At 37.1% G+C, this 15,313-nt stretch overlaps 1 protein-coding gene across 7 annotated transcripts in view; it reads right to left on the bottom strand.

Annotated features, from left to right (window-relative positions):
• The window catches only part of EML4 (EMAP like 4), a 163,196-nt gene that overhangs the window by 116,021 nt on the left and 31,862 nt on the right, over positions 1-15,313 (bottom strand). Inside the window, exons 2-3 of one of the 7 annotated variants that reach the window (XM_047443953.1) lie at positions 8,446-8,599; positions 6,071-6,348 (exon numbers count right to left, since the gene is read on the bottom strand). The exons of 5 other annotated variants lie outside the window; for them this stretch is intronic. The gene's annotated coding sequence lies outside the window, so the exon portion shown is untranslated. The remainder of the gene's footprint in view (positions 1-6,070; positions 6,349-8,445; positions 8,600-15,313) is intronic. One more of the 7 variants, XM_006711992.3, reaches the window with a different exon arrangement.

The raw sequence follows: 15,313 nt of genomic DNA, 5'->3' as shown, positions 1-15,313 counted from the left end.
GGCTCACGCCAGTAATCCCAGCACTTTGGGAAGCCGAGATAGGTGGATCACGACGTCAGGAGTTCAAGACCAGCCTGGCCAAGATGCTGAAACCCCGTCTCTACTAAAAACACAAAAATTAGCCAGGTGTGGTGGCACACACCTGTAATCCCAGCTACTCAGGAGGCTGAGGCAGGAGAATCGCTTGAACCCGGGCAGCAGAGGTTGCAGTGAGCCAAGATCGCGCCACTGCACTCCAGCCTGGGTGACAGAGCAAGACACCATCTCAAAAAAAAAAAAAAAAAAAAAAAAAAAAAAGAAGTGGGCCGGGTGTGGTAGCTCATGCTTGTAATCCCAGCACTTTGGTTTGGGACGCCGAGGCAGGCAGATCACCTGAGGTCAGGAGTTTGAGACCAGCCTGACCAACATGGTGAAACCGTGTCTCTAATAAAAATACAAAAATTAGCTAGGCATGGTGTTGGGTGCCTGTAGTCTCAGCTACTTAAGAGGCTGAGACAGCAGAATTGCTTCAACCAGAAGGTGGAGGTTGCAGTGAGCTGAGATCGTGCCTCTGCACTCTACCCTGGGTGACAGAGCTAGACTCCGTTTCAAAAAAAAAGAAAAAAAAAAGATAAATGAGTTTCTCCTTTTCTTACAAAGATCTTAGTGACACTATCAGGAGTAAGAGTTGTGGAAAACTAAACCAAAGTTTGGCTGGGTATGCGATAAGGCAGATTTAAAAGTTCTAAGGAAATAAGTTCTCAAAGGGAGAAGGTATAGCAATAAAGATTCTTTATATTTTCTAACCGTCCTTTAAGGTTTGGATTGGAAGAAAAAAGTAATTTAACTCTGTATCTGAGTACCCGCAACTTACTTTTAAATTCACCAGAAAACAGGTTGATAACAGATAGATATATGGTAACCCAAGTATAGCAAAATGTTAATTACAGAATCTTAGTGGTAGATAATTAGGTATTCACTGCAAAATTTTTTTTTTTTGCTTCTTAAACATTTTTTATAATAAAACAGAAAAAAAATCTAGTCTGAGGCCAACACACTTCAAGAGAAAATGAAATAAATTTGCAGAGTACCCTGGAAGCTTTTATAGGTACATAAAATATTAAAGTAGTTGGATTTTATGAAAATCAGCTTGGATTATAAGATTTGAATACCATTCTGTTAAAAAGTGGTTTTATGGCTGGGCATGGTGGCACATGCCTATAATCCCAGCACTTTGGGAGGCTGAGGCAGGCTTGATCCCAGGAGTTCAAGACCAGCCTGAGCAATATGGCAAAACCTCATCTCAACAAAAAATATAAAAGTTAGCCAGGCGTGGTGGTGTGCATCGGTAGTCCCAGCTACTTAGGGGGCTGCAGTGTGAGGATCACTTGAGACTGAGAGGTTGAAGCTGCGGTGAGCCATAATCACGCCACTGCATTCCAACCTGGGTGACACAAAGAGACCCTGTCTCAAAAAAAAGTTTTACATCTACCATGCAGAGTTATAGATCTTGTAGTATAGCTAGCCTCCACAGATGAACCCCCAATGAAACACGCCTACCAGTAGTCATGCTCTTATGTAGTTCTCTCCTTTGAATCTAGGCTGGCCTTGTGACTTGCTTTTTTACCAACAAAAGTTGTGTAACTTCCAAGACTAGATATGAATAAGTCTTGCAGAATCTAAGACTGTTTTCCTGGAATACTTTCTCCAGGAGAACTGAGCTGCCCTTTAAGAAGTCCAACTACTCTGAGCCACCATACCAGAGGCCACAGATACATACTTGGTTTGACAGTCCCAGCTAAGCCTAGCCTTCCAGCCATCCCGGCTAACGCACCAGACATGCAAAAGGTACGACCCTCCAGCTGCATATCACCATGTATCCTTAGTGGAAAAGAAGAATTGCCTAGCCAAGCCCTGCCCAAATTCCTGACCCACAATAATGCTGGATATAACAACAAAATTGTTGTTTTAATCCACTAAGTATTAGGTGTTTGTTTTTTTAACCAGAATAGATCAATAAGGGTATATTAATCACTAAATATTTAGCCCAAATCCTTCATTTTTAGCAATACATTCATTTTCAATGAATTAAAAAATGGGAAAAAAAAATCCGCTGTAAACTCTAGGATAAGTAGGTGAGGAAAACAAAGTAAAGGAAAAAGCTACATAGTTGGGAATAACTGCCTAGCCTATTCAAATATACAAACGCCTTATAATAAAAACTCAGGTAAGCATCAAATAACAGTCCATTTTTTAAAACCATTAATTTTTTATACTTTGGATGATATTCATATGAGTAAATGTACTAGACATAAATTTTTTTCTATTTAAGTTCATACCGAATCCACTATCTGACATCTTGTCAGTGATCTGTGACTCCCGCCCAAGCTGTTGTCTTAAGAAAGAGTTAACAGAGAAATGACTGAATTTAAAACAGTAAAATGTTTTAAACTTCTACATTTTTGTTTTCATTGACATGTTAGGAAAAATTGGGGGATCACAAAACATATGTGTTACCCACCGTTTACCATAATATTTGATATACACAATAAGACAAAGTTCTCTGACTACACACATAATAGGTACTCAGTAACTGTTGATGGAATTAATTTTAAAATCCTATACATTCAGCTTACAAATTATAACTGCATAAAAGAAACTTAAATTGATGTATCTAAACAAGTCATCAATATCCTTAATTTTATATGTTTTAAGAAAACACAAAAGTACTTTCTAGCCAGTTGTAAAATATAAATGTAAACTATTCTTGTATCTTTCCTAGACCTAAAAATTTTAAATATTAAATTATTGCCATTATTTTTTCCATGCTTTTAAAACCATTAGAAAATTATTCTTGTTTTCTAGTCAAGGAAGCAAGGAAAGATTCATATCGCTGCTGCGAAAAAGAAAAAGGGAGACAACAGGCTAACAAAGTTGAGGCACACATCTGCAATCTGAATGCTTATGTAAATAGTACATAAAAGTATGCAATGGAAAGATTCAATCATTAAGTATTTTTAAACTACCAGAATTTCTTAACCCTAATGTAGTTCATTTTATTTTATTTTTTCTTCATGGTTAGTCCAACAGGAGACTGGGTAAATGGACTATGATATATTCATAAAACTCCACATAGCTATGGAAATGTAACTACACAAATTGTACAAACATAATACTGAGCAAAAGAAGCCAGACACAAGAAGCCATACTGTGTGATTCCAAAAACAGCCAAAACTAACCTATGGTGTTAGAAGTCAAGAGAGTGGTCATCCTTAGATGTGGGAGGGGGAGTAGTAGTGACCAGAAGGCATCACCAAGGAGCTTCTGGGATTCTGGTAATGTTTTGTGATCTGTGTTTTATGTTATCATGAGTGTACTTTTTCTGTACGTTAAGGTAGACTTCAATTAAAAGTTTACATTTTTAAGAAGTGGGGGCAAAGCTGTAAGATTCTAACATTTTTACAACTGAAGCAGAGTTATTCCAATATTTCATTATTGATACTATGTTACACTAATATGCTCATTTGTTTGCAGAACCATGGCACAAATGATATAATTTTGGAAAGTGACTTAGAGATCACATAAGCCAAATGAGAATGCAAAAACTGGCTTCCAAGATTACAGAACACAGGGCACAGCCAGGACTGGAATACAGGTTTTCAGACTCTTAGTCAAGTGCTTTATCACTACACAATACTGCCAATTCCTCTTTCTCTAGTAGTTACTTTTAAAATATCCACAGGTATACTTTTATATTCTCATGCCCTACCCAATAAATGGTACTGTGGTGCCCTGGGAGAAACACTGGAAAATGTGATAAAGATATAGAAATGCATGAAGGGGACTATCTGCCTTACTGTAGCAGTGAATAATGTGGACATACAGTAAGTGTATCTGTGGGTGTCATGCCATTTTATCTGTTAACTGGATAGAAAAGAGATCTAAATTAAAAGAAATTAAGAAAGAATTTTAGCAGGGACTAGCTGAGGAAGGGAAGGTTTTTTAAATGGTCTCAAACATTAACAAAATATTCTATTTCATGCAATGAAACATGTATTGCTAAAAAAAAAAATCTACTGCCGAGTTTGCTTTTAATGTATTTCCTGTCCTTTTCTTTAAAACGCTGAAGGAATTAAGTAAAAACTTTTAAATGGCTATTAAAATATGGAAGTATAATATTTAATTCATTAAAGGTGATATTAAATATACACTAGTTCAAATTTCAAATAGCATGCATTACTTTGAAAGTAAAATACAAATTAGAAATTTTTCATTAGGAAATTAAAAACCATCAACAAAAACATTTTTATCTTAACAGATGATCAGAAAGTCTCCAAAACAGCTGAGTACCACAAGGCTTAAAGAAAGCCATTACATATATTTACATACAATTTGAAAGTGGGGATCAGGCACGGTAGCTCACACCTGTAATCCCAACACTTTAGAGGGCTGAGGCAGGCAGATCACCTGAGGTCAGGAGCTCAAGACCAGCCTGGTCAACATGGCAAAACCCCATCTCTACTAAAAATATAAATAATTAGCTGGGCGTGGTGGCATGAACCTGTAGTCCTAGCTACTTGGGGGGCTGACGCACGAGAATCGTTTGAACCCAGGAGGCAGAGGTTGCAGTGAGCCAAAATTGCGCCACTGCACTCCAACCTGGGCGACAGAGTGAAACTGTCTCGAAAAATAAAAAAAGAAAGAAAGAAAAAGAAAGTGGGTTATTTTGTGTCTGGGAAGAAAATACTACGTTTGCTGCCAGGCTAAGTTTACATTACCCACCAAGACAAGGGGTAAATTTTACCCTACTTAAAACATTGGCAACACACGATGCAGTAACAGGAACAAAGTTACCCAACTTAAATGTCACTGTTTCAATAAGAAAGTATGAAACCTTCCGGGAAGGATAAAGTTTTCAACCTCTCTAACGACATTTTATCTGCAGGTTTAAAACATCCAAGTCCTTTCATAATTAGAAATGACCACTTTAGGCATATCACACTTGTTAACTACAGAGGGGACTAATCCACAGGTTCAGACAATTTCCGACTACTCCAGTTTATAGCAACACAAGATTCCACCCAAGCCAATTTCCTCATTCATTGTTCTGTAGATAATGTTCAATCAGTCTCTGATCAGAAATGACCTCGCCCCCCTACCCAATAACCTACCTTCAGGATCTACGATGGGTTTAACCTCTAAGAAGTTCTTCCTTTTATTCTATTCAACACAGAACCCTTCCTTTCCTAAACTCATATAAGCCTCACACCCCTACCATTTTGTACAACACACAGGAGTATGTGATTTTTTTTCAGCCATGCTTACAGACTTAACAAAGTCCAACTGTATGCCCCTTCATGATGGGAGACCATATTTCATACTTTTATATGTTCCACACTATCTACTGTGGTAGGTACACCAAGCACATTATAGGTATTTCAATCAATGTTAAAGCAAATACTAAAAAGAGTTATAGTTGCAAAGGAGACAGGATGCTCCAGTGAAGTGTGTAAGAGACAGAAGATTACATGGACCTTCTGATTACTTTGAGAAGAAAGTCTCAGTTCCTAATACCTCTCTAACATTTTGCTAATATTTAAACATAACCAATTTTTAAGGTAAACACAAGTATTTTCCATAAACTGATTTTCTATCTACTGAGTGGTATAAAATTAATCTTAAAATAAATCTCTAAAAACTAAATTATTCTATAGTGCCAGAAAGTAAGGAAGTTCTCAAAAGAGTTTTTATTTTTAAAAAGGTGGGAGTATGTCAAAGGAACATAGGAGCCAACCTATGGCCAAAGCTGGAACAATCTGAATAACAAAATAAATAAAATAGTATTGGATCTTAACCCAAAGTGCAAAATATCCATGAGTCCATACTGAAATAAATAAATGACTGAAAAAATTATCTAAGGGAACAGAAGAATTCTAAATAAATGTAAATATACTGTCTTCAAGAAGTGAAGCATAACTCCACACCCACTTCTTAAGTGTGGGCTGTGCATAGTGACTTCCTTCCAAAGAGTACAGTACAGAAAGGGGTTGGGAAAAGTAATTTTACAAAGGAGAAACCTAACAAACAGTACCTCAGTGAAGTGATCAAGTTCAACAACATCAATGATGTCATGTTGCTCACATATACTTCTTTTGATGTGATGAGGATGGCACTTTCCCTCTGTGGTCTTCCTCCCCAAAACATCAGACAAATTCCAAAAGAGGGACATTCTACAATATATCTGATACACCAAAGCTGCTACAATATACCAGTACTGCTCTTAAAACTGTCGAGGTATCAAAAACAAGAAAAACCTGAAAAAATGGTCATAGCCAAGAGCCTACGGAGATATGACAACTGGATGGGACCCTGGAAGAGAAAAGAGGCACTAGGTAAAAACTAAGTAAATCTTAATAAACTATGGATTTTAGTTAATACAATGTGTTATTGGGTTTTAAATTATAATGTACCATACTAATATAAGATATTAATAATAAGGGAATGGGGGGTGTGTGTGGAAACTCTGTATGATCTACTCGATTTTTCTGCAAATGTAAAACTGTTCTAAATGAAGTCTATTGGTTTTTTTGTTTGTTTGTTTGTTTGTTTTTTTGGTTTTGAGACTGAGTTTTGCCCTTGTTGCCCAGGCTGGAGTGCAATGGCATGATCTTGGCTCCCTGCAATCTCCGCCTCCTGGGTTCAAGCAATTCTCCTGCCTCAGCCTCCCAAGCAGCTGGGATTACAGGCACTCGTCGCTATGCCCAGCTAATTTTGTATTTTTAATAGAGACCGGGTTTCTCCGTGTTGGTCAGGCTGGTCTTGAACTCCTGACCTCAGGTGATCCACAGGCCTCAGCCTCCCAAAGTGCTGGGATTGCAGGCGTGAGCCACCGTGTCTGGCCAATCTTATCAGTTTTTTAAAAGTCATTTTAAATAAAATTATTAAGTAAAATAGTAATAGTTTTAAGAGACTGGGAAAATCATGAAGGCAGTACTCAGATAACTAAAGTTTGAAAAACATTTATGAGGAAATCCTTTTTAATCAAAGGTCCGATCAAAGTTTCACCACCTACTAGTTACATTATCATTTCCTCATCTATAAAATGGAAAGAAGAATATGCCTACAAGACTGCTGTGAGGATTAAATCAGATCATGAATATCTGTTTTAGAAACTGAAAAAGCCCTTCACAAATGATAACCGACATAAAAAGAAATACAACATATTATCTTGGAAAAAAGATGGGTATTGAAAGAAAGTTAAAGTACACTTCTGCTTTGTGGTATTTGTATAAAAGGAAAAAAACCAGAAAAGTTAACATAATTGTCTAAAAATTATTTCATGTTTTGAAACCATGTTTTTAGCTATATAGGGCCTTGAGTTTCCAAATAACTGCTTTTAGTATCATATTAGTGATTTTTTAATACACTGTAATTTCTCATTCCTTTACAATTAGATTATAAAGATGCAGTTTAAATACTTTATTTTAAAAAGGGAAGACTAAACTCTAGTGTCTAGCGATGGACTCTTAGGGGATAAAACCATAAGGAAATAGGAAGTGATTACTACAAAAGCTAGGAGTAGACAATTTGGGAGGAAAGAGACTGTAAATGGGATGGGTACCTATAGGGACTTCTGAAGTGACTAACTTCTATTTCTTGTTCTAGACTGTGGTTACAAGGATGTCCATTTCATAATAATTTACCAAGCTTTAAATTTGTTCTATGTGGCTTTCTGTGTCTGAAAAAAAAAAAAGCCAGACAGAACGAGACCCTGTCTCAAAAAAGTAAAAAAATAAATAAAAGGAGTAGGCTTCCAGGCCAGGTGCAGTGGCTCATGCCTGTAATCCCAGCACTTTGGGAGGCCAAGGAGGGTGGATCATGAGGTCAGGAGTTCAAGACCAGCCTGGCCAAGATGGTGAAACCCCGTCTCTACTAAAAACATAAAAAATTAGCCGGGTGCGGTGGCAGGTGCCTGTAATCTCAGCTACTTGGAGGCTGAGGCAGGAGAATAGCTTGAACTCAGAGGGCGGAGGTTGCAATCAGCCGAGATTGCACCACTGCACTCCAGCCTGGGCGACAGAGATTCTGTCTCAAAAAAAAAAAAGAAAAGAAAAGAAAAAAAATTAAAGGAGTAGGTTTCTAAAATAAATCTATTGTAAAGAAAACATTTAACATAAAATAAAAATTTTTTAATATAAATTTTAGTTCTTTGATTATATATACAAAATCAGAACTTTAAAAAAATCTGGTTCTAAATGATGTAAGGCAAAATTACTCAGATTCAAAGTAGGTTTGAGAATGAAAATTTATCTCAAAATCTGAATACTCACTCTGCATTTACTCACCTTATGGCCACTGTCCTTTATTCAGAAGACATAAGACCTCCCTCCCAGAGTGGCCAGGAAGAATAAACGAATAAATGCAGAAACATGAGTTGAAAAGGTAGTAAACAAATGTAATTTGTACCTGTCCACCAAAGAAGAGGTGAAATTGAAAGTGTGAGCTGCTATCACGAAGTACGCTCTCGCATACTGATGTCCGACTTTCAGAAAGTGTCAATACTGTAGCATACTCATATCCAAATACTGCCATTTTCAGGACTCTCAATTACCAATCTTCACTGCAACATTTAAGGAAAAACTTCCTATAAATAAGATAATGTAACTATAGCTCAAATATGATTGTCTAAAACACAGAACAATTAGGAAATCAATTATTCATCAGTGAAGCAAAGGTGAATTCGCATTTAATATTATAAATTTGCATTTTATATTATGCCAAACTCAGAGACAAGTCACTTATTTTTCAACTTCAACCAATCAGAACTGAGTGAAGACCAGAAAGTAAGCAGAAAAAGACCCCAAAACAATCCAAACTAAAACCATAAGTATAAAGACCACTTACGTTCAGGAAAGCTCCTCTGGCCCTCATAAGTTGCCTGTTAACTAAATTTATTAGAACTGGGTAGGAACCAAAAAAATCTGGCTTTCCAATTCACAGCAAATAAAAAGCAACAAATTAAAAAGTGGTTCAGGTAGAGCTGCTAACGTAAGCAAGAAACTGACAACTCATCCATCAATGAGAAAATCATATTTTTAAAAAGATACCAATAAGTGAAAAGGTATAAGGTCCTAGGTCATACAGTGCAGAGGCAAACAACCCTAAGACACTCCAATCACCCTTAAGGTACTAGTTACATTCTTTAAATTACTTATGTGAAAACTAGTTATATCTAGTATTATATTAATATATATTTGGAGGTTGTATGTGTATACATAGATATATTTTAGTAAAAGATATACATTTATAAAAGTTTTGGTTGTATTTAAAAATTACTTTTATAAAACTACAAATGATAACTGATAATATCAAATAGAGGAGGTGTTATACATCCAACTTAAAAATAACTTTTAGAATGTAACCAATAATCACGCTGACATATTTCTACAGAACTATATTGAAAAGTAATCTATTACTACAGTGTACTGAACACATATTCAGTGACAGCTGCATTGTCTCATTTCATCTCACAAATCTATAAATATTAAATAGATCCCTATAAAACTGCCAATATGCAACTATTTTTGACCAACCAAAAGGTATTTAAATTATCTACAATTACAGATGTAGAAATTAGCTAAAGAGAGGTAACACCCAAGATTACATGATCAACAAATGGTAAGGTCAGAATTTGAATCCAGGACTGTCTTGATTACTGTGTTATTCAAACCAACCAGCAATTATTGTAATTCACTGTGATGATTTAAATTTTACTATTTACCAAAAATAATATACATGATGCACTGAGAACACATCACTTATGTATTATACGTGCCAAAAATGCATATCCTAAATCTGATCATGAAGAAATATCAGACAAAACTAAATTGAGAGACAGCCTACAAAATAAATGGCTAGTAATCTTCAAAACTGTCTATGTCATAAAAGGAACAAAAAAGGCTCACGAACAGTTCAGTTCCAGATTAAAGTAGGCAAGACGACTAGACATAAAACTAGGCATAAAAACTAAATGCAGGCTGGGTGCAGTGCCCACGTCTATAATCCCAACACTTTGGGAGGTCATGGCAGGAGGACTCTTGAGGCCAGGAGTTTGGGACCTGCCTGGGCAAGACAGTGAAATCCCATTTCTCCCCCAGAAATTCAAAATTCAGCTGGATACAGTGGAGTACACTTATAGGCCCAGCTACTTAGGAGGCTGAGGTGGGAGGATCACTTGAGCCCAGGAATGTGAGGCTATACTAAGCTACAATTATGCCACTGCACTCCATCCTAGGTGACAGAGTGAGACCCTGTCTCTAAAAAATATATTAATTAAAATTAAAAACTAAATGTAATGCCTGATTCTGGATTGGACCAGAGGGGGGGAATGCTATATGGAACAAATTTGTGAAACTTGAATAAGGTCTACAGATTTAAAAATGTCGTACAAACGTTTACTTACTTTTATAAGAAATGTCACAAAGCAGAACAAGAGTAATTGTCAAATGAGTGATAAATGCAGTAAGTGCTAGAAATTCAGAGGCAAAAATGATCATGATTAGCAAGAGTGGTCCTAGGGAAAGAAAAAAAATTGGGTCTTGAAATCTAAGCAGAAACAGGCTAGGTAGAGGAGAGAAAGAAGAAAATTCCAAAGTGGCAGAATATTTGTGGATAAATGACTGAGTAATGGAAACTGACTACATAGTCTGTTAACACAGGAGAGTAAAAATAAGACTAGAAAGGAAGGCTGGGGCCAAATTAGGGAATTCTAACCCAAAGAAAATAGGATTTCATACCATAAGCTATAGCCAACCACTAAATAATTCTGACATAGTATTACTGTAACAAACAATTTATCCATTTCTGTCTAAATTCTAAGTTGATACTTCCTTAAACAAACAACAACAACAACAAAAACCCTTTCTTTTTGCACTAACAGATCTTCCACTTCCTTCATTTAAGTGCCTACTGATTCAGGCCACACCACACAGCTTCTAAGAGCAAACATTTATTGAGTGCTTACTGTGAGTTAGGTAAGCCAGGGAAGCTGACTGAGGGCAGGGGCATTTAATTCAACACCATCTACACCTATTATTATTATTATTGGGCAAGCTGAAATTAGTTTACTTTTAGAGTATATCTCTTTTCCCTACCAAATATAAAAATGTCAACTTTTGCTGATAAACTTCACTATGTGTAAGGACAGATTATTTGATTAGTGTTGATCTGTCAACACTAGAAGTTTTCATTAAGCATTTTAATTCAGAATTGTATCAGTGATCACATCTGGAAGTGTTTTTTGTTGCACATAAGCCAACTTATACTAAAATTCTACAAGGTCAAGTTTATAAATGTCAAATTGTAATCTAAGAGGCAAACTTTGTAAAGACTGCATGAATCATCTTTGTTGAGAACCCTTCATTTTATTTCCAATAAATTTTTCTCTTAATAAAAGAATCAAATTACCTCAACACCTAATATACAAAAAGACCTCGAATCAAAGTTCTTTGGATGATTATAGAACAAAATGGCAATGTATTGCAAATGATTAAGAGATGAATATTTATGATTTCTAAAACCATATGGTATAGTAATAGGAAGAACTGTAATATTAAAGGGACCCCATAATCTTAGCATTCATGAATATCTGAGGCAAAGAACATTTACACAGATTCATTACTAGCTTGTAACTCTACCTACCTAACTAGGTTAACTAGTTAACTAGGTCTAACTCTAGCTGTAACAGTTTCTCATTATTCTGAAAAACTGTTAGAAGAATCATCCATTTCTGTTTATCCTAGTAGGGAGAAAAAACAAATACAGCAAGCCATTCAGTAGTTGTTGGCACACTACCGCCCACAAGCCAAATCTGATCCCATCACCATCCCTTAGTTGTATGGTAAGAGAACTAAGAATGATTTTTTACATTTTTAAATAGCTGAAAAACAAATTCAAGGAACAACAGCTATTCGAGACACATAAACATTACATGAAATTCAGTGTTGATAAATAAAATTTTGTTAGAACATAGCCCCGGCACATTCTTTTGGGTACTGTCAATGGCTATTTTACAAAAACAGCAGAGAGGAATAGTCCCACTGGAGATGTGTGGCCCACAAAGCCTAAAATATTTATTATCTGGCCCTTTCCAGAAAAAGTTTGCCAGCCCCTGCCATAAACCACAGCAGACAAGAGATTAAGCTGTAGGTACTGAAATCAGACCAACCTGGGTTCAAAACCTGTCTTTGCCACTAACTGCTTATATAGCTTGTCGAAAGTCATCTAATGGTTCTAAAACTAAAACTTCTAATTTTTTTTAAAGAAAGATAGGCCAGGTATGGTGGCTTATACCTGTAATTACAGCACTTTGGGAGGCCAAGGCAGGAGGATCACTTGAGCCCAGGAGTTTGAGACCAGCCTGGGCAACAAAGTGAGACCCATCTCTATTAAAAAATTTAAAAATTAGCCCGGGGTAGTGGCATATGGCTGTAGTCCTAGCTATTCGGAGGGCTGAGGTGGGAGGATCCCTTGAACCCAGGAGTTCAAGGTGCAGTGCACTATGATTGTGTCACTGCACCCTAGCCTGGGCAAAAGGGCGAGACTCCATCTCTTTGGGGGAAAAAGAAAGGTAACAGTATCGTATAAAGGAGTAAATACAGAGTGCTTAGCACTATACCTTATAGTAAGCACTATATTTTCATTATTATTACCACTATAGTTACTATAGTTACAGGGGACTCTTTCCCTATCAAACTGTTGAGGTCCAGGCCTTTTTGTGCCTATACATGTGGCATAGAAGTATATTATCAATTAATCCTCTCTGTTTTTTTTTTCCCCTCTTTATGTTCAGGCAACTGCAATTCACACCAAAATATGTGGGGGGAGGGAACTTCTACAAAAAAAAAAAAGGGGTGGCTATAAAGTCTGAAAAAATAAGTATATAAACGGCTGTTAGTATTAATCTGTGATTCCAGACTAGCCATCTTGTATAACTGCTTCCATAGGTAATGATGCCGTCCACTGTACTACAAATAAAATCTATATAAAGTTCATGTGAACTTTGTTATATTAATAAGTTTAATTACAGCTATGTCAATATACTTTGCTTAAAAATGACAAACCAAATTTATTCAAGTTCAGAAAAACTCTATCATAGAGTATTCAACATGGATTCAAAACGTTTTTATTTCAGATCCTCTGATAAACAAAAAAGGGCTACCACAGATGGAAAGATAAACTACGTCTACTGGACCATGAGGGGAAAAAACCAAACTTACCTTCATATACTCATGGAAAATGTTAGGTTAAGTTTTCTTTTAACTGGTAAATAATAATTATATGTACTTATGGGACACAATGTGATGTTTCAATATATGCATACGTTATAGAGTGGCCAAATCAGGCCAACTAACATATCCACCAAACCTCAAATACTTACTTCTTTATGGTGAGAACATTTAAAATCCACTATTCTATTCTATTTTGAAATATGTAATATATTCTTCTTCTTATTATTATTAGAGTTAGGGTCCCACTCTTGTCACCCAGGCTGGAGTACACTGGTACAATCATGGCTCAATGCAGCCTCAAACTTCTGGGCTCAAGGAATCCTCAGGTCTTAGCCTCCTAAGCAACTAGGACTACAGGCATACACCACCCCACCAGGCTAATTTTTTTATTTTTTGTAGAGATGGGGTCTTGCTACGTTGCCCAGGTGTGATGGTTAATGCTGAGTGTCAACTTGATTGGATTGAAGGGTGTTGCCAAAGGAGATTAACATTTGAGTCAATGGATTGGGAAAGGCAGACCTACCCTCAATCGGGGTGGGCACAATCTAATCAGCTGCCAGCACAGCCAGAATAAAAGCAGACAAAAGAACATGGAAAGACTAGACTGATGTAGTCTTCTGGCCTCCATCTTTCTCCTGTGCTGGATGGTTCCTGCCCTCAAACATCAGACTCCAAGTTCTTCAGCTTTGGGACTCAGACTGGCTTCCTTGCTCCTCAGTGTGGAGATGGCCTATTGTGAAACCTCACTTTGTGATCATGTGAGTCAATATTCCTTAATAAACTCCCTTTTATATATACATGTATCCTGTTACTTCTGTCCCTCTAGAGAACACTGACTAATACACCAGGCTAGTCTCGAACTACTGGCCACAAGCAATCCTTCTATCTAGAGAACACTGACTAATACACCAGGCTAGTCTCGAACTACTGGCCACAAGCAATCCTTCTACCTTGGCCTCCCAAAGCACTGAGATTATAGGTGTGAGCCACTGCACCTGGCCTACAATACCTTATTACTAACTACAGACATCATACTGTGCAATAGATCACCAGGATCTATTTCTCTTGTCCAAATGAAACTTTGTACTATTTGACCAACGCCTCTCCTTTCCCTGTCTACACCCCTCCAAGCCCCCGGCAACTGTCATTCTACTTTCTACTTCTTTTTTTTTTTTTTGAGACAGAGTCTCACTCTGTCACCCAGGCTGGAGTGCAGTGGTGCAATCTCAGCTCACTGCAACCTCTGCCCCCCGAGTTCAAGCGAGTCTCCTGCCTCAGCCTCCTGAGGAGCTGGGATTACAGGTGCGCAGCACCACACCCGGCTAATTTTTTGTATTTTTAGTAGAGATGGGGTTTCACCATGTTGGCCAGGCTGGTCTTGAACTCCTGGCCTCAAGTGATCTGCCTACCTCAGCCTCCTAAAGTGCTGGGATTACAGGCCTGAGCCACCATGCCCGGCCTATTTTCTGAGTTTGACTTTTTTTCAGTTTCCACATATAAGTGAAATCATGTGTTATCTGGGTATGTGTCTCTGTGTGCCTGGCTTATTCCACTTAGCAGAATGTCTTCTAGGTTCATCCATGTTGTGCAAATGACAGGCTTTCCCCCTTTCCAAGGCTGAGTACGTTTTTCTTATCTGTTCATCTACTGATGGGCACTTCCATGGTTTCCATATCCTTGCTATTGTGAAAAATGCTCCAATGAACATGAGAGTGCAGGCATCTCTTCAATATAATGGTTTCAATTCCTTTGGATATATACTCAGAAGTGGGACTGCTTCATCACAGAAAGCGTTATACTTTTAACTTTTTAAAGTTCTATTAGACTTATGTTCAACTTCCTAAATCAAGCTAAAAATCTGCATACATTAAGCCTAGCTGTGCGCTCTTGGGCAAGTTAATTAACTCATCCCTTAGTTTCCACCTCTGTAAAATGGGGATAATAATGCTAACTCCTTCACAGCTTACTATGAGGATTAAATGAGCCAATACACATAAAGTACATCAAACAGATTCTGATACAGAGTGATGCCTGATAAATTAGTT

The sequence above is a fragment of the Homo sapiens genome, chromosome 2 (assembly GCF_000001405.40).
Source record: "Homo sapiens chromosome 2, GRCh38.p14 Primary Assembly".
NCBI classification, from domain to species: domain Eukaryota; kingdom Metazoa; phylum Chordata; class Mammalia; order Primates; family Hominidae; genus Homo; species Homo sapiens.
The sequence above is the reverse complement of the archived record's forward strand: the minus strand, read 5'-3'. Positions and strand labels throughout refer to the sequence as shown.